The sequence below is a fragment of the Homo sapiens genome, chromosome 9 (genome assembly GCF_000001405.40).
Source record: "Homo sapiens chromosome 9, GRCh38.p14 Primary Assembly".
In the NCBI taxonomy this organism is placed as follows: domain Eukaryota; kingdom Metazoa; phylum Chordata; class Mammalia; order Primates; family Hominidae; genus Homo; species Homo sapiens.
Window position 1 is genome coordinate 39,262,398 of NC_000009.12, and position 27,830 is coordinate 39,290,227.

General features: G+C 40.2%; 1 protein-coding gene across 2 annotated transcripts in view; it reads right to left on the bottom strand.

Annotated features, from left to right (window-relative positions):
• CNTNAP3 (contactin associated protein family member 3) overlaps window positions 1-25,770 on the bottom strand; it is a 223,458-nt gene extending 197,688 nt beyond the window's left edge. For both annotated transcript variants that reach the window (NM_001393379.1, NM_033655.5), the window contains exons 1-2: window positions 25,583-25,770; window positions 4,499-4,609 (exon numbers count right to left, since the gene is read on the bottom strand). In NM_001393379.1, the coding sequence (NP_001380308.1) occupies window positions 4,499-4,609; window positions 25,583-25,667 (196 nt within the window). In that variant the 5' untranslated portion in view covers window positions 25,668-25,770. The remainder of the gene's footprint in view (window positions 1-4,498; window positions 4,610-25,582) is intronic.
• Window positions 25,771-27,830: the final 2,060 nt, after the last annotated feature.

The window sequence follows — 27,830 nt, forward strand, 5'->3', positions numbered from 1 at the left end:
AGTGGGGAGGGAAATCCTAAAACTCACTAGGTGACACAATACACTAAAGCATTCCAGCTTGGGTCAGCAGACATGTTACAGCTGCAGACTCTTATGTTTTCTCTCTTTAGACCAAAGAGTTTATCTCACACTCATCATGTGTTGGTCTGTGAGTGGCCAAGACAACATTCAATGAGCAACCAGCAAACCCTCCCTTATGCTAGAATGCTTACTTATGGGGATACTAAAAAACACTAGGTCTGTTATAGTTCTACTTGGAAACTTCAGATGCCTTTTCTTCTAACTCTGAAATTTTAATAAGATGGAAGAAGCACTTTCTGCATAATTGTTTATTTAAAACTAAATGCAATTCCAACCCAGAAGAGGCCTCTTTTGGATAAGACTAGCCAAGTTACAGATGAAGACAACAGGGTCTTAGCTGTCAGTGAGATAGCCCTCTTTGATCTTGGGAAATTCTGAAGGAATTTCTCATTTCAAAATAAGAATAAATACTTTTGGGTAAAGGGAGGAGAGAAAATTCTTCAGGTCACCTTCCATTTTTTCCTTATAAACAAATTACAATCAGTTGACCTCAGCCTAGCATTTTGATTAAAAATAACTCAAGATAGGACTGAAAGAAAACACCAAGAAGAGAGTTTTATCCTAATCTTAGAAAGGCATATTCATATGACAACCAGCATAAGAAGCAAGGAATCTGAATTACAGAAAAATAAACTTTAAACTGAAACTGCTAATATAATAAATGCAGAGGAGACACAGGGCAGCAAATGCATAAATAAATGTATGTCTTTAGCCAGTATGTGAATGATACCCAAAACGGCTGGTTTTCCATCTCAAACAGTCATGGAATAACAACTTCACAGTGTTTATTAATTGTTGAAATTGTCTAAAATAAGAGATTATATTTTCACAAATTCATTTGACACAGACACAGCTATAAGCACATGAGAAGACAGGCCTAAGGAAAAAGGTAAAATTAATTCACCTATGTCTGTATTTGTCAACTAAACAAAGCATCGATCCATTTATTATAAAGTATAATAAAACTAAGGACAACCATTGCATAATTAAATTGCCTCTGAAAGCCAATTATTGATTATGGAGAAAACCAAGTTTTACAACTGTATGTGTGTATCATATAAAGATTTCATTTCCTAATACAGATCATTCATTATTCATTTTGAAATGTTAAGAATTTACTATGTGCCAGTGTATCGTTTGAAGTCTCATATTTTAAACATTTTAAACTATAGGTTAATTTTCTGAAATTTTCGATTAGTGTCAGAAGAAGTTACAGAAAAAGGAATAACAAACATGTTTAAATAATTAAATGGTTTCAATGGCATCTCGGAATTTCTTTGATATTATTATCAAAATGTTTTCTTCAATTCTACTCAAAACCTTATTTTTTTGCCCTAAGTCTTTGTCAGCTTATTTCAGTCTTATTTTTACATGTAATATACCACAGAGTTCTTCTTAGCTTCAAGTGATGCAATGTGAAAGGTGTAGAAATGCACACTGACCCTTAGCCTCTTAAATTTACAACAGGTCGGCCAGGCGCGGTGGCTCACGCCTTTCGGAGGCCGAGGCGGGCAGACCACGAGGTCAGGAGATTGAGACCATCTGGGCCAGCATGGTGAAACCCCTCCTCTACTAAAAATACAAAAATTAGCCTGGTGTGGTGGCGGGCACCTGCAGTCCCAGCTACTCGGGAGGCTGAGGCAGGTGAATCACTTGAGCCCAGGAGGTGGAGCTTGCAGTGAGCCGAGATTGCACCACTGCACTCCAGCCTGGCAACACAGCAAGACTCCATCTCGATAAATAAATAAATAAATAAATAAATAAATAAATAAATTTACAACAGGTCACTTTATCCTCAAATTAGCCAATACCATGTTAGAGGTTATACTGAAATTCTAACTATGAAGATGTAGAAAGCAAAAACATATTTAATTAGTTATAATCCAATCTGTGCAATATTCATGATAATACATTTTTACAAGTTGAAAGTAATTCTGGATTATGCTTCATAACTTATGAAACCTTTGGTGGAAAAACTGAGTCTTCCCCATTAAAGGGAATTAAATAAGTTGCTTATAAAAGTGCATTAACTTGTTTGGCCCATGGGTTCATCATTTAGTGGCATGGAAGAACTAGTTTACTTGTGGTATCCAAGAGGCATGAAGAAAGACACCTCCAAAAAGTCCATTTTGATTCTTTACACTGGGACAGACGGGATGCATAGCTACCTTGTTCCCCTCTCACCCCTCAGGCTAAGGCTTGAGTAACTATCGCAGCTGTTTCCATGGCGTCTTCCCATCACATGGGTACAAGGCACTGGGCTGCACAACAGGGAAACTACTTGTTTTCTGCCTGTTAATTTTTAGCTCTGAGATCTTTACACTCCACTGGAGAAAGGCTTTAATGTCTGAGACAGGGGGTCATTATTTGTTAGTTTAATTATTTATGATCAGAACATTTGTTCAGTCACTCTTCCATAGACCATTCTGAATCTAATAAAGGATAATAAAACACTAGAGATAATCTATAGCCTTCAATAAATCACTCCCAATTTGGAACTCCTTTGATGAATACTCCAGGCTACCATGAGGGAGAAGAAAAAAGTCAAAACCAATTAAAAAAAGCAACAACAATGAATTTGTAATAAACTCAGTTGATAGCTAACTAAAGTAAGCCTGTTTTTCTAACTTCATTAACATGAAAATAAATTTTATTAAGATTGATATCATGCTTTTTTGCACGAGGAGTTACAGGAACATGAACTAAGAATAAAAATGATCCCTATGATAAAGAATCCTCATAATCATGTACTTTAGTACAAAATATGATTTGACATCAAGAAGAGCTATGGCTTGAGATTGCTCTTGTTTTCCTTTACCCCCTGTGCCCAGGCTTAGTCACTGTTTCAGTGATAATGACCATCCACTGAGGCTCTGCAGCAATAGAATCTAAAGTAACAAAACAGAGCCCATATCTCTGCAACAAATGAAATCACAGACTTAAGAAACATAAACAGAAAAACAAAAAGTTAAGTTGTTCATGTTTCATAGCCATACTGCCTATAACAAATGCCAGAACATATTTATTTGGTCCAATGTGCAATGCATTAAATGTGCTCAAATACAGAAAACACCAAGAAATGCAACAGGGAGTTAAAAAAAAAAAAAAGGCTGGGCGCGGTTACAGGCTCACGCCTATAATCCTATCACTTCAGGAGGCCGAGGTGGATGGATCAGGAGGTGAGGAGATCCAGACCACCTTGGCTAACATGGTGAAACCCCGTATCTACTAAAAAAAAAAAAAAATACAAAAAATTAGTCGGGCCTGGTGGCGGGTGCCTGTAGTCCCAGCTACTTGGGAGGCTGAGGCAGGAGAATGGCGTGAACCCAGGAGGCAGAGCTTGCGGTGAGCTGAGATTGCACCACCGCACTCCAGCCTGGGTGACAGATTTTGTCCGTATCTGCAGAGGAAATGGGAAAAGCCAAAAGGAGGGGCGACAACTGATGCTATGGGGAGGAGCTTTACATTCAAATGAGGACACCTCCTGGCATCTCCGGATGGAGCTCCGAATTCATTACAGTATTACTTAAAGGATTTTATTAAAAGACCAAACCACACTGCACTTGTGGTTGAATGCCTTTATCAGAGATGAATCTTACATGTGTTAGGACAGGCTGACAGTGGCTCCCAAAGATATGTCTATGCCCCAATCCCGGGACCCTGTGAAGGTTACTTCAGAAGGTAAGGTTCTCCAGATGTGATCAAAGACCCTGAGACGAGGAAATTATCTTGAATTATCTGGCTGGGTCTTAAATACCATCAGAACTGCCCTTGTAAGAGAGATAAAGGTGAGGATGAACAGAGCCCCACACAAAAGAATAGTCACAGTGGAGCATGAATAAACCATTTTACATGGTTATTTCTCTACAGTGGATGCTAAGGAGAGAATCAAGTCCGCCATAATAAGAAATAAACTAAGAGTTGTAGTTAAAACATAATAAAAATCTTTTTAGACGCTTCTTTACTTTGCCAATTTTCTCATCCAAATAGGGATAATTAAATAATCTGGGACAACAAAATGTATACTGTGGCAGAACAAAAGAATCCAAGGTAAAAAAAAGGACATGACAGAATCTAAGGTCTTCGATAAATAATACTCAGATATTGCAAGGGGTATACAAAGAGTTCAAACACTGTCAAAGTCAGGTGTGACATGTTCAAGGCACACAAAGATCGTACCAAGGGAAACCCAGCAGGACCAGAAAGCCGAAGTGATCAACTTATTCCTGTCAAATACATTCTTGGAGTTTCAAATGTGAACAAATATGCTTATTCTGAATTTTACTTCCTTCTGCAAAGTAATAATCAATTATAATTATAATTATAATTATTTTGTTAAATGAATTATAATTATTTTGTTAAATGAAAATCCAATGAGAGTCACCAAGGAGCAATACAAGGAAAAAGGCAGACTCACCATCTCTTCGATTAAGCCTTGAAAACCCCGGGCCGTGGCTGCTGGACAGCTCTGAGGAGCTGCTGAAGGATGACCTAGGCAAGGCAGAGGCCAGTGGGGCATCACAGTCAGCTGCCGGGAAAAATACCGTGATATGGTTAACACTCAGATTGCAGCTTGGGAGAAATAATAGTCCAAAAATATATATGAATATATTCTAGGATGTATGGCAATCATCACTCCTTTTTTAATTTTTTACAATTTTTAAAATTTACATTGCAGTATAATTTACAGAGAGTAAAATTCCAGAGAATTTATTTGATGTTTTTAAAGTGTACAGCTCTATTCATTTTGACAAATGCATTCAGCCTTGTAACCTCCACCATAATGAAGACATAAAACAGGTCCATTAGCCCTCAAAGTTCCCTAATGTCCCACATTTTCTCAATTCTGCAAGATGTCTGGGTACATCACCCATCCAACACTACTTTAAACTCAATTTGATGCTTAGGTTCTTTAGGTACACACACACAGAGGTAGTGTGAATTGTGTGCCCAAACCTCAATAGCGGCTAGAAATTCTCACAGTGCCCCAGCACAGAACCTGTGGGGGATGGGAAAAGTGAAATGCACCAGGTGTTCAGGTCAGAGTTACCTGCGTGAAGCCAGGACCCATGAAAGGCAACACCTGTAGTGATGAACTGGAAAAAGCCCACTCTGTAGACCCCTCCAGAGGGAATCACTGCGGGCTACTTGCCTACAGGAGATGGAGGCTCCTCCTTTTTGCCTGATAACTTGAGCATTGCAGGAACTTGCTCTGCCTTTCCAAATCACGCTAGACCAGAGGGTTTCTGGCTTGCTGCACTTCCCTAGGCTTGTTGATTTAGTCTCGGCGATTAGCTCTGCCTAGGTTCCTCTCTCCCCACTCTATGGTCTTGATTTGTCCCCTGACCCCTGCCTGGCATCACTCTTAGCTTCCCACTTCTCCTTGACAAGTATTCCCAGCATGCTTTGTGATTCCCAGCATGGTGCCTATGAAGGGTTTGGGACAGAAACCATTTCTTAGTATTATGTTCATGAAAGACAGCAGAAGATTAAAATTAGCCTAAGGGCTTCCTGTATACAAATCAACATTGCATTCACAGATGTGCTAGTTTACGACAATTTTTACCACATGAATATGAAATGATTAAAAAATCAATTTGAGGAATTGCCCTTACCTAAGACAGAGATGATATACTTTTCAAAACAGCATTTCATTTGAGTATGTTAATTCTTGCACTTATTTAATAAAAGTGTATTGAGCACCTACCATGTGCAAAGCATTATGGGGCATAAAGAGAGACATGGTTCTAGGTTCAAGAAGTCCAGAATCTAACATGGGAGGGAGATGTGTAAATATCTGTTATAGGAAATAAACAGAAGAGCAAAATATTTAGATACTACTATTTATTCCAAAACACAGGGAAGCATCTTAATTGCTTAGGAACAAAACCAGCCTCTGAAAGAGCAAACACTACTAGGGAGAGATGCGTATAAAAGTGCTTCTGGAAAAGATAAACATAAACCATGCATTTTCAAACAGCAATTCATTATTCTGGGATCTGATAATAAGAATGAAAAAAAAAAGAATGCATGTATAATACATGGACAGATTTTGTCCGTATCTGCAGAGGAAATGGGAAAAGCCAAAAGGAGGGGTGACAACTGATGCTATGGGGAGGAGCTTTACATTCAAATGAGGACACCTCCTGGCATCTCCGGATGGAGCTCCGAATTCATTACAGTATTACTTAAAGGATTTTATTAAAAGACCAAACCACACTGCACTTGTGGTTGAATGCCTTTATCAGAGATGAATCTTACATGTGTTAGGACAGGCTGACAGTGGCTCCCAAAGATATGTCTATGCCCCAATCCCGGGACCCTGTGAAGGTTACTTCAGAAGGTAAGGTTCTCCAGATGTGATCAAAGACCCTGAGACGAGGAAATTATCTTGAATTATCTGGCTGGGTCTTAAATACCATCAGAACTGCCCTTGTAAGAGAGATAAAGGTGAGGATGAACAGAGCCCCACACAAAAGAGAAGAGGGTGTGAAAATGGAGTGAGGCACCCACAAGGTGAGGCACACGGGCAACCACAGGAAGCCGGAAGAAACGAAGAATGGATGTCCCCCTAGAGCCTCCGTAGGGAGTGTGGCCCATCTTGATTTTGGACTAGGGATACTGATGCGGAACTTCTGGTCTCCAGACTATGACAGAATAAATTCTTTTGCTTTAAGTCAGCCAGTTTATGGTCAATTCTCACAAGGGCCATAGGAAATGAACACACTGTTTATATGGAATTACATATTGGATATTTTAGGGGAAATGCAGGAGAGTTCCAACGAAAATACGATTAACATCCCTTTGAATCACACAGATACTCAATTCCTTCTCAGAAGGGCTTCGTGATGCTAAGCCACTCTGCCAGGCTGTGGCTCTCCCCATGCTTGTGGCTGCACTTGCTCCTCACTGTGAAAGGAGCTAACCACTGTGTTGGCGGAACCTAAGGATGGAAGGAGAGGGGAAGGGGCCACCGAACTGCTAATATGAGGGGACGGCACCTTAACCACCTTCGAATTATCAGAAAAACACAAAGCCTACTATTAAAGAGTTCAACAGATGGTTACTGTGTTATCACAGATGTATAGAAAACCTCTTTGTTCTAAAAAAAAAAAAAAAAGAAAAAAAAAGATTCCTGTCCTTTCTCAGACTGTCTCGATTAGGTCAAATTCACTAACTCCACAGCAGGCTTCTCTCTGGTTCCACATATTGAGTCAGTAGGGAGCACGGCCTCGGGAATCGAATCACAAACAGGGAAGGGGGTGCCCATACCTTCTTCAGGCCACGTCTGGATGTTCATCTGGATACGGCGCTATTCCATTCTTCCCATTTCATCACCTGTCTTTTCAGTTCTTAATGTACCTTAACATTATCTTAATGAGAGGTTAAATAAAGCTTTTATTTAGAAGGTACCAAAAGTTCATCTTGTTATGAATCTGAATTGATCTGTGCATTGCTATCTAGAGGGAATGCTTCGGAAAAAGCACATTTTACTCACAGTGAACATAAGCAGTAATGGTCAATGTAAAAATCTACTTTTTTCCATATAAAAACTTCTGTTTTACATGGTCTTGATCTCCATTCGATTATCTTCAGTCACTGTCTTCCCTACATCTCACTCCATGGGGTCTGAAGGGGGCTCACCCTACCACCTGGGGCCAGCACAGGGACACGCCTCAGGCCTGGCAACTGAATGCCATGCCTGTCCTACTGGAAAGGACTGGTTCCAGGATGGTCAGGAAGCCCATGCTGAATGAATGGGAACAGAACCTGGGACTTTCGAATGAATAACAGCAGAACCTGGGACTTTCGGCTTGAACTCTTGGGAGAAATACCCATTCATTCATTCAACAAATATTTGTTGAAAATCTATACTGTGCCAGGTGTGCCCCTATGTTCTGGGGATATAACCATAAACAACAGAAAAAGTCTCTGCTCCTGTGAAGCTTATCCTACTGAGTAGAATAAACAAATAAAGGCATAATATCTGTAGAACTCAACATTGCTAAGAACAGAAATAAAGGAAAACAGTCACGCTTCTAAGCTGGTAAACGGTATGCCTGAAGCTATGGCATAGACAGAGCTGCCCAAGAATGAGGCCAGTTGTAGACGAAAATAAAACTGCAAGAAGGAAAGAGGCAGACTGCTGATGAAAGAATCTGATTGCCTAAATTCAGCCTGGCTTCAATCAAGACACTTTGGTTCCCTTTATTGTTCAAGTCTATTTGATCTTAGATTCTGGTCACCTGAAACTGAAAAATGCTCAATAAGTACACTGTCCTGAGCCCCCACCCTTATCTTCCCTCTACAGCCAATAAATTGCCAAGGATTATGTACTTTTTGTGTGTATATGGCAGCTTTTCCATTATCATGATCATCATCTCACTGTAGGTCCTCATGTTAACGACCTAACTAATCCTTACAGCCAATGCTTCCTTATTGACTGTCCCCAGCCACACACACACCTTACGTATCACCAGAGCAGAAACGGTTTTAAACTATTGCTGAGTGCAAGTCACACAAACAGCCATATCAACCAGCTCCAATGGATCCCCACTGCACCTGTCCTGAAATTCAAATTTCAGGTCCTGGCATTCAATTCCTTCCATCGCCTGTTTCCTGTCACTCTCTGCACTACAGCCAAATCCCCTACACATTTCTCAGATGTGCTTCCTCCTTTAATCGGAGTGGTCTTCTCACTGTTTCCTGAATGTGGGATGCATGCACCAACGCTCCTTGACCGCTCACCCGATGACATTGCAGCCCCTCCTGTCTGCGAGTTCCCATCACTTATTATCTTCAGGGCTCAACTCAAGTTTTGTCTCTGCTCTGAAGGCTTCTCACATGTGTGAAGGCCCCAGTAAGGCTTACTCTTCTGAAATACTGAGGTCTGTCTCATGGAAAATGAATTACACCTCTGGAGAAGGAGCAGCACCTCACTCACGGGGAGCCACACAGCAGCCACGTGTGGCGGCAGATGGGGATGAGAGGGAACAGGAGAACCTCACTCCCGAGAAAGGAGCCTTGCCTGCTGACTGATGATTCTGGGGTGAGGAAGAGAGGCTGGCATGACCAGCTGATGAGTGTCTGGTTCCCGGGACATGACAGACAATTCCTACAGTCTACCTGTGGGAACAGATGAGGCCTGGAAGAAGACACATAGAAACAGGTTTAAATTCTATAAATTAGAATTTACAGGGGGTAGGAGATAGGGGTTACACGTTGTCTCTCCTTCCAGATGATATTTTGACTTGTTAAAGAAAACCTAGCATAGGAACATTGAATACCTCCTGACATTGGTGTTTTCAAGTGACTTACAGCACTACAAATATAAAGTTATAACAACAGCATACCAATTTTAACATACCAGGACCAAGGACTTTATTCTATGAGAACTACAAAAGACACAACACAAATGAAGACCTAGAGGAAAGTTTACATAGTTTTTTTTTTTTTTTTTTTTTTGAGACGGAGCCTTGCCCTGTTGCCCAGGCTAATTTTTTTTTGTATTTTTAGTAGACACGGGGTTTCACCATGTTAGCCAGGATGGTATCGATCTCCTGACCTCGTGACCCGCCTGCCTCAGCCTCCCAAAGTGCTGGGATTACAGGCGTGAGCCACCATGCCCGCTCAAGTTTACATAAATTTAAGCATCTTAATTTGATGATCTACTCTACAGTCATTACAACAATAAATATAAGAACTATTTAAACATGTGGAGAGATGAAGGAGATGGGATGGGAAAATCTGCATATGAGAAGATAATGGACAAAGAGATCTGCTGGATTGAGATGAGATAATGGGTGTTAAATCCAACAAACACAGCTCTGGAAACACAGAAGGGATTAAACATAGATCAGCTCCTTTTCCCTGAGGAAGCTGAATAGATGATCTTGTTCTCTTTCCTTTTATTTCTAAATTTCTTGCTATGTAGTTAAATTATACTTCTGTGATAAATTCAATACCTATTTTTAAACTATAGATTTTTGGCTAAAGTATATAATATGAGAATAAGATGAACCTATTTTTTTGAGACTTACTGCTAAGTAGAAAGAGAGGAAACCAAATAACAAAATTAAGTCCTGCAGAAAGACATCAGACACGACACAGAAAAAAATACAACAACACAGGTGCATATAATTTAAAAAGAAAATCATGTGGAGATGTCATCACTAATAATTGTTATTACGAATGTATCCACAGCTGTGGGAATATAAGTGATAAAGATGAGCTGCTAATAAAGGGCAATAAATGATCTTTCCACGGGTACAAAAAAATAGAAAAAATGAATAACACCCAGTATTTGATAACACAAGAGGTGACTATAGTCAATAATTACTTAATTGTACATTTTTAAATAACTTAAAGAGTGTAATTGGATTGTTTGCAACTCAAAGGATAATTGCGTGAGGGGATGGATACTCCATTTTTCTTGATGCACTTATTTCACATTGCATGCCTGTATCAAAACATCTCATGTAGCCCATCGATATATACACCTACTATGTAACCACAAAATTAAAAGCTAAAAAAATTAAAAATAATAATAATTCTTTCTATGCACCTCTGAGAGTTGACAGAACTAGCGTCTGAATGAGAATGTAAGGTATGAGAAGGATATGGCTTCTTCCCAAGACATGTTACAGAGGGATGGAAAGAAGACTGTGTTCAACTTATAACATCTTAAAGGGACGTCATGACCTCACAGGCCAGAGCAGGCTACGGAGCATCTGGGAGCTGAAGAAAGAGAACTTCAGTGATACTTAAGTAAGGGTTAAGAGATGCACTCCAATTGCATTCTGAAGACAGATCCCAACAAGACCAATGACATCAGCTAGATTTTTTTCAGCCCAAAGTAATATACCTGCAAATTATCAGAACTTGTTCACTACTCCGTACTTGGCTCTAATATGATTAGTAAGGGGGCAGTGTCAGAATCCTTGAGAAAATAATAACCAGAACATCTTAGAATTTATTGTGCCCAAGGAAGGAGCCCTGTCAATAGACAAATGTTTATTTGAGATGTCAAAAAGATAATTTTAAAACTTTAGGAAAACAGCAGGCATTATCCCATGGCAATATGTTTTATGTCCAAATTTCAACTCTATTATTTCAAGCTATGTGTGTGACTTTAGAGGCAGCTTTGACTTCAATTTTTTAACTTAAAAAGATAAGAGTATTTAGAACACAATGGGAAATGTTACATAATACTACCTTGTAGACCTCCGAGCAACCACTATACAAAGAGACACTGTTGTTATGATTGAGGACAACATCGTTCATCAAATGTGAAAAGCTACCCAAATGAAATCCAGAAAAAACATGTTCCACTGAAGAAGAGAGAAATGGGCAAAGTAACCAAGGAAAGAATATTTACAGTGAGGCTGGGCACAGTGGCCAAGATGGGCGGATCACAAGGTCAGGAGTTTGAGACGAGCCTGGCCAACATGGTGAAACTTCATCTCTAGTAAAAATACAAAAATTAGCTGGGCATGGTAGCGGGAACTTGCAATCCCAGCTACTCGGGAGGCTGAGGCAGGAGAATCACTGGAACCCAGGAGGCGGAGGTTGCAGTGAGCCAAGATTGTGCCACTGCTCTCCAGCCTAGGTGACAGAGCAAGACTCCATACCGGAAAAAAAAAAAGGAATACTTACAATGAAAAGGAACATTAAAAGGAGGCAATATAAAGCAAAGTAAGTTAAAGCCCAGAACAAATTAAGACTTTCAAACATTGCTAAATGCAATCAAAGAGATATTTGTATACTCATAAGAAAAACCAGAAGAAGCTGCACTCTCTTGACAAAGCTCATAAGGCTAAGAAAATAGACAGGTCTGGATCCAAGATGGTCGAATAGGAACAGCTCCAGTCTACAGCTCCCAGCATGGATGATGCAGAAGACAGGTGATTTCTGAATTTCCGACTGAGCTTTGGTGACAGTAGTGGTTCTCCCAGCATGGAGTTTGAGATCTGAGAATGGAAAGACTGCCTCCTTAAGTGGGTCCCTGACCCCTGAGTAGCCTAACTGGGAGACACCTCCCAGTAGGGGCTGACTGACACCGCATACAGCCAGGTGCCCCTCTGAGACGAAGCTTCCAGAGGAAGAATCAGACAGTAACATTTGCCATTCTGCAATATTTGCTGTTCTGCAGCCTCCGCTGGTGATGCCCAGGCAAACAGGGTCTGGACTGGACCTCCAGCAAACTCCAACAGACCTACAGCTGAGGGTCCTGACTCTTAGAAGGAAAACTAACAAACAGAAAGGACAACCACACAAAACCCCATCTGTACGTCACCACCATCAAAGACCAAAGGTACATAAAACCACAAAGATGGGGAGAAACCAGAGCAGAAAAGCTGAAAATTCTAAAAATCAGAGCACCTCTTCTCCTCCAAAGGAACGCAACTCCTCGCCAGCAACGGAACAAAGCTGGATGGAGAATGACTTTGACGAGTTGAGAGAAGAAGGTTTCAGATGATCGGTAATAACAAACTTCTCCGAGCTAAAGGAGGATGTTCGAACCCATCGCAAAGAAGCTAAAAACCTTGAAAAAGGATTAGACGAATGGCTAACTAGAATAAACAGCGTAGAGAAGACCTTAAATGACCTGATGGAGCTGAAAACCACGAGAACTACATGACACATGCACAAGCTTCAGTAGCCAATTCGATCAACTGGAAGAAAGGGTATCAGTGATTGAAGATCAAATGAATGAAATGAAGCGAGAAAAGAAGTTTAGGGAAAAAAGAGTAAAAAGAAACGAACAAAGCCTCCAAGAAATATGTGACTGTGAAAAGACCAAATCTACGTCTGATTGGTGTAACTGAAAGTGACAGGGAGAAAGGAACCAAGTTGGAAAACACTCTGCAGGATATTATCCAGGAGAACTTCCCCAACCTAGCAAGGCAGGCCAACATTCAAATTCAGGAAATACAGAGAATGCCACAAAGATACTCCTCGAGAAGACCAACTCCAAGACACATAATTGTCAGATTCCCCAAAGTTGAAATGAAGGAAAAAATGTTAAGGGCAGCCAGAGAGAAAGGTCGGGTTACTCACAAAGGGAAGCCCATCAGACTAACAGTGGATCTCTCGGCAGAAACTCTACAAGCCAGAAGAGAGTGGGGGCCAATATTCAACATTCTGAAAGAAAAGAATTTTCAACCCAGAATTTCACATCCAGCCAAACTAAGCTTCATAACTGAAGGAGAAATAAAATCCTTTACAGACAAGCAAATGCTGAGAGATTTTGTCACCACCAGGCCTGCCTTACAAGAGCTCCTGAAGGAAGCACTAAACATGGAAAGGAACAACCAGTACCAGCCACCGCAAAAACATGCCAAATTGTAAAGACTATCAAGGCTAGGAAGAAACTGCATCAACTAATGAGCAAAATAACCAGCTAACATCATAATGACAGGATCAAATTCACACATAACAATATTAACCTTAAATGTAAATAGGCTAAATCCTCCAATTAAAAGACACAGAGTGGCAAATTGGATAAAAAGTCAAGACCCATCAGTGTGCTGTACTCAGCAGACCCTGCTCACGTGCAGAGACACACATAGGCTCAAAATAAAGGTATGGAGGAAGGTCTGCCAAGCAAAGGGAAAACAAAAAAAAAGCAGGGGCTGGAATCCTAGTCTCTGATAAAACAGACTTTAAACCAACAAAGATCAAAAGAGACAAAGAAGGCCATTACATAATGGTAAAGGGATCAATTCAACAAGAAGAGTTAAATATCCTAAATATATACGCACCCAGTACAGGAGCACCCAGACTCATAAAGCAAGTCCTTAGAGACGTACAAACAGACTTAGACTTCCACACAATAATAATGGGAGACTTTAACACACCACTGTCAACAACAGACAGATCAACGAGACAGAAAGTTAAAAAGGATATCCAGGAATTGAACTCAGCTCTGCACCAAGCAGACCTAATAGACATCTACAGAACTCTCCACCCCAAATCAACAGAATATATATTCTTCTTAGCACCACATCACACTTACTCCAAAATTGACCACATAGTTGGAAGTAAAGCACTCCTCGGCAAATGTAAAAGAACAGAAATTATAACAAACTGTCTCTCAGACCACAGTGCAATCAAACTAGAACTCAGGATTAAGAAACTCACTCAAAACCGCTCGACTACATGGAAACTGAACAACCTGCTCCTGAATGACTACTGGGTACATTGAGAAATGAAGGCAGAAATAAAGATGTTCTTTGAAACCAACGAGAACAAACACACAACATACCAGAATCTCTGGGACACATTTAAAGCAGTGTGTAGAGGGAAATTTATAGCACTAAATGCCCACAAGAGAAAGCAGGAAAGATCTAAAATTGACACCCTAACATCACAATTAAAAGAACCAGAGAAGCAAGAGCAAACGCATTCAAAAGCTAGCAGAAGGCAAGAAATAACTAAGATCAGAGCAGAACTGAAGGAAATAGAGACACAAAAAAACCCTTCAAAAAATCAATGAATCCAAGAGCTGGTTTTTTTGAAAAGATCATCAAAATTGATAGACCGCTAGCAAGACTAATAAAGAAGAAAAGAGAGAAGAATCAAATAGACATAATAAAAAATGACAAAGGGGATATCACCACCAATCCCACAGAAATACAAACTACCATCAGAGAATACTATAAACACCTCTACGCAAATAAACTAGAAAATCTAGAAGAAATGGATAAATTCCTCAACACATACATCCTCCCAAGACTAAACCAGGAAGAAGATGAATCTCTGAATAGACCAATAACAGGCTCTGAAATTGAGGTAATAAGTAATAGCTTACCAACCAAAAAAAGTCCAGGACCAGATGGATTCACAAGCCCAATTCTACCAGAGGTACAAGGAGGAACTGGTACCATTCCTTCTGAAACTATTCCAATCAACAGAAAAAGAGGGAATCCTCCCTAACTCATTTTATGAGGCCAGCATCATCCTGATACCAAAGCCTGGCAGAGACAAAACCAAAAAAGAGAATTTTAGACCAATATCCTTGATGAACATTGATGCAAAAATCCTCAATAAAATACTGGCAAACCGAATGCAGCAACACATCAAAAAGCTTATCCACCATGATCAAGTGGGCTTCAGCCCTGGGACGCAAGGCTGGTTCAACATACGAAAATCAATAAACGTAATCCAGCATATACACAGAACCAAAGACAAAAACCTCATGATTATCTCAATAGATGCAGAAAAGGCCTTTGACAAAATTCAAAGACGCTTCATGCTAAAAACTCTCAACAAATTAGGTATTGATGGCACCTATCTCAAAATAATAAGAGCTATCTATGACAAACCCACAGCCAATATCATACTGAATGGACAAAAACTGGAAGCATTCCCTTTGAAAACTGGCACAAGACAGGATGCCCTCTCTCATCACTCCTATTCAACATAGTGTTGGAAGTCCTGGCCAGGGCAATCAGGCAGGAGAAGGAAATAAAGGGCATTCAATTAGGAAAAGAGGAAGTCAAATTGTCCCTGTTTGCAGATGACATGATTGTATATCTAGAAAACCCCATCGTCTCAGCCCAAAATCTCCTTAACCTGATAAGCAACTTCAGCAAAATCTCAAATTCAAGATTTTGTATCTTGATTTGATACAAAATCAATGTGCAAAAATCACAAGCATTCTTATACACCAATAGCAGACAAACAGAGAGCCAAATCATGAGTGAACTCCCATTCACAATTGCTTCAAAGAGGATAAAATACCTAGGAATCCAACTTACAAGGGATGTGAAGGACCTCTTCAAGGAGAACTACAAACCACTGCTCAAGGAAATAAAAGAGGATACAAACAAACGAAAGAACATTCCATGCTCATGGGTAGGAAGAATCAGTATCATGAAAATGGCCATACTGCCCAAGGTAATTTATAGATTCAATGCCATCCCCATCAAGCTACCAATGACTTTATTCACAGAATTGGAAAAAACTACTTTAAAGTTCATTTGGAACCAAAAAAGAGCCCGCATTGCCAAGTCAATCCTAAGCCAAAAGAACAAACCTGGAGGCATCACACTACCTGACTTCAAACTATACTACAAGGCTACAGTAACCAAAACAGCATGGTACTGGTACCAAAACAGAGATATAGAACAGAACAGAACAGAGCCCTCAGAAATAATGCCGCATATCTACAACTATCTGATCTTTGAGAAACCTGACAAAAATAAGCATTGGGGAAAGGATTCCCTATTTAATAAACGGTGCTGGGAAAACTGGCTAGCCATAAGTAGAAAGCTGAAACTGGATCCCTTCCTTACACCTTATACAAAAATTAATTCAAGATGGATTAAAGACTTAAATGTTAGACCTAAAACCATAAAAACCCTAGAAGAAAACCTAGGCAATACCATTCAGGACACAGTCATGGGCAAGGACTTCATGTCTAAAACACCAAAAGCAATGGCAACTAAAGCCAAAATTGACAAATGGGATCTAATTAAACTAAAGAGCTTCTACAGAGCAAAAGAAACTACAATCAGAGTGAACAGGCAACCTACAGAATGGGAGGAAATTTTTGCAACCTACTCATCTGACAAAGGGCTAATATCCAGAATCTACAATGAACTCAAACAAATTTACAAGAAAAAAACCAACAATCCCATCAAAAAGTGGGCAAAGGATATGAACAGACACTTCTCAAAAGAAGACATCCATGCAGCCAAAAAACACATGAAAAAATGCTCATCACCACTGGCAATCAAATGCAAATCAAAAACCACAATGAGATACCATCTCACACCAGTTAGAATGACAATCATTAAAAAGTCAGGAAACAACAGGTGCTGGAGAGGATGTGGAGAAATAGGAACACTTTTACACTGTTGGTGGGACTGTAAACTAGTACAACCATTGTGGAAGTCGGTGTGGCAATTCCTCAGGGATCTAGAACTAGAAATACCATTTGACCCAGCCATCCCATTACTGGGTATATACCCAAAGGATTATAAATCATGCTGCTATAAAGACACATGCACACGTATGTTTATTGCAGCACTATTCACAATAACAAGACTTGGAACCAACCCAAATGTCAATCAATGATAGACTGGATTAAGAAAATGTGGCACATATACACCATGGAATACTATGCAGCCATAAAAAATGATGAGTTCATGTCCTTTGTAGGGACATGGATGAAGCTGGAAACCATCATTCTCAGCAAACTATCGCAAGGACAAAAAACCAAACACCACATGTTCTCACTCATAGGTGGGAACTGAACAATGAGAACACATGGACACAGGAAGGGGAACATTACACAACGGGGACTGTCGTGGGGTGGGGGTACGGGGGAGGGATAGCATTAGGAGATATACCTAATGCTAAATGACTAGTTAATGGGTGCAGCACACCAACATGGCACATGTATACATATGTAACAAACCTGCACGTTGTGCACATGTACCCTATAACTTAAAGTATAATAATAATAAAATAATAAAAAATTAAAAAGTTCAGTGTTCGAGTTCTCTGTCTCTTGGCCTCTGTGATGCCTGCAGAAACCCAGTCGCAACCCATTCATTCATATTCCTCTCCTTAGAGCCAGGAGTTAGCGCCCCAAGGGCAGTGCTGAATCCCTGGACAGGACTTGGGATAAATGCATTCCCCCTGCTGTCTCTCAGAGGCACAGCTGTGAAACACATTCTACCGGCTTCCTGAGAGCTTCCCAGGGAGTTCATGCCCCAGTTGCTCACAGAAGTGACCAGCTCAATGACACCCCCTTTTGGTGGATTTTTCTTCTCTATTCCATTCTTCCCTCTTTTATGAGCTCACTTTCTAAAAGAGGCTACCTGCACAAACGCCCATCACAGGCTCAGCTGTCTAAGAAAACTCTGGCTGGGAGAGTGGACTTTCCAGAATGGAATGTGGGCAGTATTCTAAAATACTAAATAAAATGCAACAGGAAAATCAAAGGGATGAACGTCACATGGCATAAAGAAGGAGGTAGAGGACATCTGCCTAGCCTTCCAAGAACAAAACAAATTGACAATCAACCCTGGCCACCCAGGAGATGAGCTTTGTCACAGCAATTCTTCCTCATATCCCAGAAAAGAGAAGAAGAAATGAGGACAGTAGAATCAACTGTGACATCCAAAAAAGGCTGCCCAATCTCTTCTCTAGAATGTGTCAACTGTGATTTATGAAATAACATATGCTATTTTTATATTGCAATGTTTGCTTATCTATAGGTAAGAGCTCACTATTTCTTATATCATGTTATAATTATATTCATGAAGAAGATGACCATTGCACAGACAAGTACACTGTGAAGAACCGTGAGGAGAGATTTTACCCTACTTGCAAGCTAACAAATGAGTCTGCCAGTTTGTTTCATCGTTGCGGCAGAAGACTCCTGGGTCAAAGCAAAGGACTGTATTACTTACAGCATAGCAAACAATATGAGCATCAGCATATTTGCATCAATTTCCTTGCCTCCAAGTCCTCTGGGGGAATATGGATGGGCACAGATGGATGTGTGCACACGCAGTGGGTTACATGACAAGTGAGGAGCCCTGAGCTTAGGGAATTCAAAGTTTTCTACGGGCAGCAGGCATTGCTTGCCCTTTGGCAACACTGCTGAAATAAATCTCTTATGGTTCAAGATGTATTGATAAGCATGTTAAGCTTATTTTTATACATGAAGAACAACAAATTGTTATTTTCTATGGTTATTCACAGTATCTCAAAATCTATGTGATATTTTACTAGCTTAGTTTTATTATAATTTTAAAAGACCATTTGGGTTCCTTTGTTAGTGGACAAGAATAAAAAGAGATAAATTAGTTACTTTCTTAAAGCTAAGCAACATCATTTTCTATTGAGGAACCCAAAACTTTCCTAACTTTTACAAATGTTTGTAAATTGTAGGTTCTGTGACAGCCTGTGCTATAAAATTTCATAAGCTTATAAGAGCTTTCTTAACACAGCTGTGGACTTTTCTCCTGGTGTTGTACAGCAGTTCAAATTAGCTCAAGAATCATAAACCCTATATTTGAACAGCTATATAATATTATATATTTATTTTCCCATTTGATGTTGCATTACTTTTTCTACCAATCTTCTTACAATAAATTCATAAATATCTTAATTATAGCAAATGTGAAGTTCTTAAAGATGAGAATCATCAAACATATTTCTATTACAGAGATATATTCTTCAAAAAGTCATCTAAAATAGAAACCCAACTGGGAGACACCTTAAAAGGTTATCTGCCACAACAGAAGCTTTGCTTAAAATACTGTTCTCTTTGTATTTGTGTTAATAATTGATTTGTCTTTGAAATTAAATTAGGAATCTACTATATCTAGTGGTCTTGAAATCAAAGCCCCCTCCCCATTCCTTATCTTCACTGCTGTGTTCAAAAAGACTAGACTCCAGGGACGTGTCCAAAGCTGGGTTAAATATAGGATGCCTGAGAGACACCCTTCTTTCATAGTTCGAGGGTAAGCATGTAGCTGTATGTGTGTGGAGGGGCGGGTGGAGGAGGTTAGCTGTATCAGGGTAGGCATAATACTATATTTTAAATCCCTCCTTCTGTTATAAATGTAAGCTGAAAATAGTCTCTGCTCCCAGCGGCAGCAATCGTAAACTCGCTTAGTTCTGCCTGTAATTTAATTTAATTTAACATGTGACATTGAGACAATGTTTCTTTTAATTCACATATAACTTCTTCCTCACCCACATTCCAGCCAAATAAACACATACTTATAGAAAAATGTGACTGTTTTCCTGGGCATCCCAACAATTCAACTGTCCCTAAAACACCAGGTTCAATTTAAACTCTATTAGCTTGTCTGAGGGCTAAGATATCTAAAAATCCAAGACAAATTATCATTTGCGTATATGGAGGCAGCTCTGATTGAACAGATATCTAAAACGGTTAGGTAATATTTTAGATCAAATCACTCCATCAAGTCAAAGACTAATTCAACTGTTTGTTCAGTTTCCAAAGGAATCCTTCCATTTTGGTCTAGTGTTCCATAAACATTGACTTTACATGAAAAGGACAGTGAAGAGATCTCTTGAACCGGCCAGAAAGTTGAAGCTCAAGGTTGTAGAAGATTTGAGCTACCAAGTCCAAGCCTTCTAAAAGATTCCCAATATGTATATATATCATTTTCCTAACTCTACATTTGCCTGAGAAACAATGACATTCAATAAACTTTTTTCCATGGGATTTAGTTACAAAATAAGTCAAGGAACTACAAGTTATATATTTCCTGGAAAAATATACTATTATATATATATATTATATATTCAAAACTCCGTAAAGCATATAAAGTATAAGCATATACTGAGTTATAAGGCATAACTCAACATGTTATTTTAACCTAAAATTTTCTTAGGGCCTCAATTGCAAATGCTTTAATTGCCAATGGTTCATAAACACATCTGTGAATTAGAAGCAAGTAATATCCTCTGTTTTTATACTCTCAAAAAATGTGATTATACTTAATCAAAAGTAATTCAAACCACAGCCCAGGCAATACATACTAGACCATGTCTTCTTGGTAATTTAATTCTTAGCAATAATTTTAATTGCTGCCTTATTAAGTAGGTATGCTACTTAAATTACAATCCTGTAGTTATAAGGTTAAAACTATTTTAAAATCTCAAATGTTTTTAGATTTCAATCACTCTTCGTATTATTACAACAAAAATGTTCATTAACTGGAACACATGCAGTATCATTTTTTAGCCCCCACTTTATGATATTTTTTAATTTTTATTACCAGAGTAGTCATTTCATTATAAAATTTTAACCAAGCTAAGCATATACTCCATTTTTTAGAAAACTAGATTTACTGTAGTCCTGTTAAGGCTATCATAGTAAGCAATGAATTTCACACTTGTCTTTTATACAGTACAACACATCAAGCAGATATATGAAATCCTTGACAAAAGACATTTAAAACAAACAATTCCATGCTTTATATGTCAAGTGAAAAGGAATATTTTTTCTACAGTGACAGAGCAGACTTGACATGTGCACAATCATGTACAACCAAGCGTTTGCAAATGCTCTTACAACGTGGAGCAACCGGGCCTAGGGACAAGCAACCTTTCAGCTAAGAGTCTCGTCAAAGGTGCGGAAGCCCATTACAGAAGACCAGATAACAGTCAGTCTGACGGGTTCATTCAGATATTCAAGCTTTAAAAAGTACTTTGAAGACTGATACAGATGTCCTAGGCAATAAACTTCCCGAAAAGAATGGGGAACAATCCCAGTGCCAATCACATCTTTGTCATTCAGAAATCCAGGCTAATTTGATTTAGAGACATACATAAATGAACTGTTATTTCTCATAACTGTTTTTTTTTCAGCCTCTTTATTTTTAATCTACATCTCTTAGGTAAAATGCATCAATTTAACTACATTTACTTATTCTGAGTTTTTCTATTGGTCCATGTTTCCTTTAAACACAATTTTGAATGGTTTTTTAAAGTAACCATTTGATTTTGAAACCAATTTACAGAAAACATGGAAGAACTACGCTAATATGCTGTATCACCCCTGAATACTTCAATGTACATTTCCTACAACAAAGATGTTCTCCTATATAACCATAATATGATCATCCCAGTCATCATGGATAAAGTTCCAATATTTAATCCCCAATCTTGTTCAAGTTGCACCAATTCCCAATCATGTCCTTTATAACATAAGCATTTAATGCAGAGTAGTATTTAGTTGCCTTGTTTTCTTAGCCTCCGTCAATCTGGAATGCCTCCTTCCTCACTCCACTCAACCTCTGACAACTTGCTATAGGTCACCACCAGTGCTGTCTCCTGTCTCTCCAGGTCCCCACCCTTGCTACACTGTGGATGCTTTCCTTACCCTGCTGGTTTCTGAATGCTCTGCCACGGTCCTGGGCCTCCCCACTACCCAGCATGGATGCCTAAGCTGAACTGAATGACCTTGGACTGAATTGTTCAAAAAGAGAAGGGGAGAGGAAGAGGAAGAAGAACGCCAAGTAATTTGATTTTTCTTTTTTCATGATCAAACCAATGTCTTGGAATTGATTATCACTTCCATGGGCTACTTATGCTCCGTACTGTTTGTATAGAGTTTGGTGAAAATGAATAAAGGCAACTGAACTACATTTTTTGGTTTTTTTTTTGAGACAGAGTCTCACTCTGTCACCCAGGCTGGAGTGCAGTGGCACGATCTCAGCTCACTGCCTCCTCACAGGCACCTGCCACCATGCCCTGAAATTTTTTCATATTTTTAGTAGAGACGGGGTTTCACCGTGTTGTCCAGCCTGGTTTCGAACTCCCGACCTCAACTGATCCACCCACCTCAGCCTCCCAAAGTGCTGGGATTACAGGTGTGAGCCACCGCGCCTGGCCTGAACTCCATTTTTTATAGAGTACCATTTGACACTAAAATTAAGAGTCTGTTACTCATCTGCAGAATCTCTCTTTAAATGGTATTACTAAAAGGTCCAAAATGAAACATCTGTAAAAATAATTATTCCTACACTCTGTGAGATCTCTTTCCTGACACATTTCACATCTAAGTGAGTTTCCTAACTAACCCACACACACTCTATAGTAGGCTTACCCTTCTTTCCCCAGGCTGGCTGGCGAACTTGCAAAACATAACCATTTAGGGGAAAAAATTGAGGCAATTAAAATTAAAAGTGTTTTAGGCTAAGTAATGAATAAATTAACCCACTGAAAAGTTACATCAAAGGCTATTACTCAGCATTTTACCAGTTACAGGAATTTCTGCAAAATCTGCCCAGCCATTTGTTTGTGTATCCCTGGGATCAGTGCCCAGCGTTCAATCTTTCTCTTGATGCTTCCTGCTGTTTTCAGGGACTCAATGAGAGCAGTAAGTGACCTTTCACTCACTGCAAGTCTATGGGCACTGAAGTTAGGAAAATATTTCCCTTCATGCAGAATCTTCCTAACAAAGCTTTCCCATGTATTTGTCGGGTCAAATAACATTCAGATAAACTGCACATAATCCCCAAAATGCCAAATGTTTAGAAAGCTTTTTTTTTTTGAGACAGAGTTTTGTGTTTTCCTCTTGTTGCCCAGGCTGGAGTGCTATGGTGGGATCTCGGCTCACTGCAACCTCCATCTCCCAGGTTCAAGCGATTCTCCTGCCTCAGCCTCCCGAGAAGCTGGGATTACAGATGCCTGCCACCACGCCCGGCTAATTTTTGTATTTTTAGTAGAGACAGGGTTTCACCATGGTGGCCAAGCTGGTCTCCAACTCCTGACCTCAGGTGATCCACCCACCTCGGCCTCCCAAAGTGCTGGGATTACAGACGCGAGCCACTGTGCCCGGCCTATAGAGCTCTTCCCATGAAGAGCCATTTCATGCCATCATCAACAGGTTGCCTTCGTGGGTGGCCAATGTGCTTCTCGAAAACCAGCTGTGAATAACGTGAGCAACTCATGGTGTCTACATGAGAAGGAAACTTTTAGATGTCCTTATTGACTTTCTTCTTGGTATTGAAGGTGGTATAATTATTACAGTTACATAGTTTTATCTGGAAGAATTACTTGATCTAAAAGGTAATTTAAAATTAGTAAAATTTATTAGATATGAGGATACTAAGTTTCATCAACGAAAGAAGACTGAAAACACCCACAGTAGTAGTATTGAAATTTCACGTGTCACTCAGCAACTCGCGAGAGTCCCGTCTGGTGCTGAGTCCATTTGGAATATCTGTCCCTGCCCTCCCCTCCTCCAAAAAGAATGTTCACTATAAACGAGAAGAGCTTAATTTCTATGGGCTTTGTAATCCTTCCACTGGATTCCAAGCAAAATAACTACCAATACAACTAATCCTGAGAATAAAAAGTAATCACAACTATGCAACAAAAACAGGAAAGGTGGTGGCAGGGTCTCACTCAGATTTCATTGCTTTGCTTTTCTCCAGGAAGGTCTTTTTGAAGCCCTGTTTATTCAATAGTAAGAGTGACCTCTAGTGACTTTTTTTGTTGTTGTATTTTGCCAGTTGATTGGTCAATTACTCTAGCATGCCTTTCTATAAGTAGCTCATTTATATGTTTGTTTAAGCCAAACGGCAGTTTCCATTACAAGACCCAAGGATTTTGATTTAAGTAACAACGTTTTATTCACAAAGCCTTCTCACAAAAGCAGATTAAAGTTGAATCTGAAACACGGTACAGCATCTGACCAAAGGAATCCGGAGCTTGTTTTTTGGAAGGGCACACCAAGTGTAGGATTAACTGAGGCGCAACTGAATCATGATGCACAGTGAGTTCATGAACCCATGTGCGTGCCCTGTGTGTGAAGAACCAACCCACCCTTGAGCCCGCGGGCAGAACAGCACTGAGCTACGGCAAACTTTTCATGACAGCTTAGGAGAACTGCTGAAAGCTACCCTTGGTTATCCTGCAATAATCTAAATTTCCAAACATGGCCACTGGCGTTTATTGGAACTTATTTCGAAAGAGATTTTGGTAGGAGAGGGCTGAGGCTGACAGCGGGGAGATGCCACTGAAAGAAAAATAAAAGTGATTTGAGAAGGAAGAGGAAGACATTTTAAAAATTCTAATCTCATGGTTTGATTAATCAAGAAAGAAAGACAACTCTCTGCTAGAGATTTACTCCAAGCCAAAAAAAAAATGTGCAATGTTGTGTAAACATTTTTATGTGTGATAAAATATGGGTACATTATGTTTTGCTCATCTGTCTGGAATATCATCATTACATTAGAATCATAGCCCATTCTAGAAATAAAGGCTTCCTAGGTGTTTACCAAATTAAGGAAAATAAAAAACAGGGAACCTGATGGCAAATTAAATAATGTAAAATATTAGCATCCAGAGAGGAATCATTTTCAAGATCACCTAAATGACTGGCTGAGTTTTGTCTTTAAGCAAGAACTTTCTACTATGAGAAACGAAGCCCCTGACAGGGGTGTTCAAGTGTTATTCCCTTAGTAGTTAGGACAGGTTATTAATTTAGTTTCACCTACAGGCGCTCTGTCCCTATACTGCATGGAAGTTAATTAGCATTTTAACTCTGAAGCTGCCAAGGTCGGCAAAACTGTAAGCTGCTAACATCTAAGTTGATGCAGTATGATGTAATGTCTGCCAGTTTTTTCCCTGTTAGACTTAATTCCTACAAAATATTACAATCCTAAAAAGGAATAAATGACAGCATTTGCACGCTAATCTCTTATTAAGATGCTTTTCAGGTTTTACAGAAACGTCCACTTTCTCAATGAATATTCAAGTACATCGATTAAAAAGTCAAAACATGCATGGTATATCTTAGACTCCCCCACAAGAGGAAAGTCTATTGTAAACAAAATCGTCTTTTTCGGGTTGCAATTCCAAATTTTTTTTAAGGTTCTTCATGTTCAGGAGCATGTTCTGCAATTCCACTTCCAAATATTACCGATAATAAAAAAAAAAAAACAAAGTTTTCCAGACAGCCTAGCGCAAGTTTTAAACCATTTGCTGTACTTACGTGGATTTCCTGCTCCCACGGGGCTCCAAGTCTGAGTGGGGAGAAGCAGCAGCACCTTGAGGACGGCCCAGGCCACTGAAGCCATGCTCACTTCAGCCAGGCGCCCTGAGACCCGGGCACGGCGACGGCCGCTCTGCGTCGCTCCTGCTCTCACTCCCGTCCCCTGCGCGGCTCTGACGCTGCTCTGCCTCCCCTGTCCAGTCTCTAGCTCTCTTCCTCACGCACCAGCAGCCTCCCTCGGCGCTGCAGACCCTCCCGCCAAGCCGCGCCCGGCCCCAGCTGCGTCTCCGAGGTCGGCCCCGCGGACTCGCGCCGCAGCTTTCTGGAGCGCTCGGGGCCGCGCGGCGCCACCCCAGGCACGGAGGCGGCAGGTTCAGGCGCGTCCCGGACACTAGGCGCGGGAGGCGGCCGGCAGCAACGCGAGTCAAGAAGCGAGCGGGAGGGACGCCCCAGCTCCGCCTGGCGCTCTCCTCCCGTTATACCGGCAGCTTCCTCCGTCCCTCTCTCCCACCGGGGCGGGGCGGCCGCGGTGCACGGACTCGCGCCAAAGACCGCGCCGTCAGCCTCCGCCTGCAGGTGGAGAACGCCAGGCTTTATCACTGCGCTGTTCACCCAACGCAGGGGCTGCACCCAGGAAAATGCTGTCCTGTTTGAGTTCAAATAGGGAAGATGGGGCAGAAATAACTCTGCGGCGTGTACTTGGGCAGACGCGCGCACACTTTGATTTTGCTAGGAATTCTGACTTGTAGAGAACCAAGCTGGGAAACCGGGCCAGGAGCAGGGAGAGGCCGGTGAGCCTGGGTTGTGCGAGTGCAAGCCTTTATTTAAAGTTTTAATATTTTGTCTATCATGGGTTTTTTTTTCTTTGCGATTACATTCAATTTTAAAACTATTTCATTCATTCAGGATTAGCGTTACTTAACAGTTGCTCCTGAGACTAGTGCGTTAGTCCCTTCACCCTAGTCCTGGCCTTGGTGGAAGTCTAAAATTTACGTTTTATTCCAGCTTTCTGTCCAAAAGAGCAACCCCTGCAAGTGTAGGATGAGGAGCTCAGTCCAGCAGCAGCTAACACTGCACTCCTTGCGCGCCTACTGTGTGCTAGAGGGAGGGGCGGAGGCAGGGGGCGGGGGGGGGGGTCTTTCTCTTTTTCTCTTCCTCTGCTTCTCAAATTCACAGTAGGGGCAAAGATTGACAAACTCACTCACATTACCACCACCGCGAGTTTCCAAAAAAGAAAAAAGAAAGAAAGATACTTTTTTAGATGGTATCTCTAAGAAATAGTGTATTAATCTTCCCTTTAGAAAGACAACTTTGAAAGGCTTTTTCATTAAAATGAATTCAAATGTAATAGATGTAAAATGTAAAATGAATTCAAATGTAATAGATGAAGAATCTTACAAAGTCATTCTTGAATTATTAATTGGGTTCACTTAAACTACTTTTGCACAAGAACTCTGTAAATAGCACGTCTTTTATTACAGAAAAAATTATAAATCTAAAGTTTTGATTGACAGATCAGTTGCCTTCAGTGAGACAGAAAGAGAGAAAATGGAAATCATTTTCTAAATTGGACCTAGAGTAAAACAACAAATGTCAATCTATTATTATACCAATTTGTCAGGCATCAGATGGAGTCTTTAAAAATGTGAACTTGGCCGGGTGCAGTGGCTCATGCCTGTAATCTCAGCACTTTGGGAGGCGGAGGAGGCCAAGAGGTCAGGAGATGGAGCCCATCCTGGCCAACACGGTGAAACCCTGTCTCTATTAAAATACAAAAAATTAACCGGGCGTGGTGGTGCCTGCCTGTAGTCCCAGCTACTCGGGAGGCTGAGGCAGGAGAATTGCTTGAACCCGGGAGGCAGAGGTTGCAGCAAGCCAACATTGCACCCTGCACTCCAGCTTGGCGACAGAGCCAGACTCCGTCTCAAGACAAAAAAAAAAAAAAGTGAACTTGGGTGTTCAAAGTGTTAGGCTTAATGGAGAAAGGCCAAGAAACTTCTACGGTGGTAGACATTTGCAATTAAAACAAAATGGCTTCATTAAACTGTAAAATCACTAGCGTAGTGAGGGTGCATGCATTTTTTACAACATTGGAGGAATATATTTATGAATATTATTCCCAATACATAAAATATACATTTTACACACTTATAGGTACACTCAAAATTTGTTCCAAATTGTTCATGTCTAGTAAATGTATATACACTATTTTATATGGTTAAGCCAATAAGCATCAGCATTTTCTTCT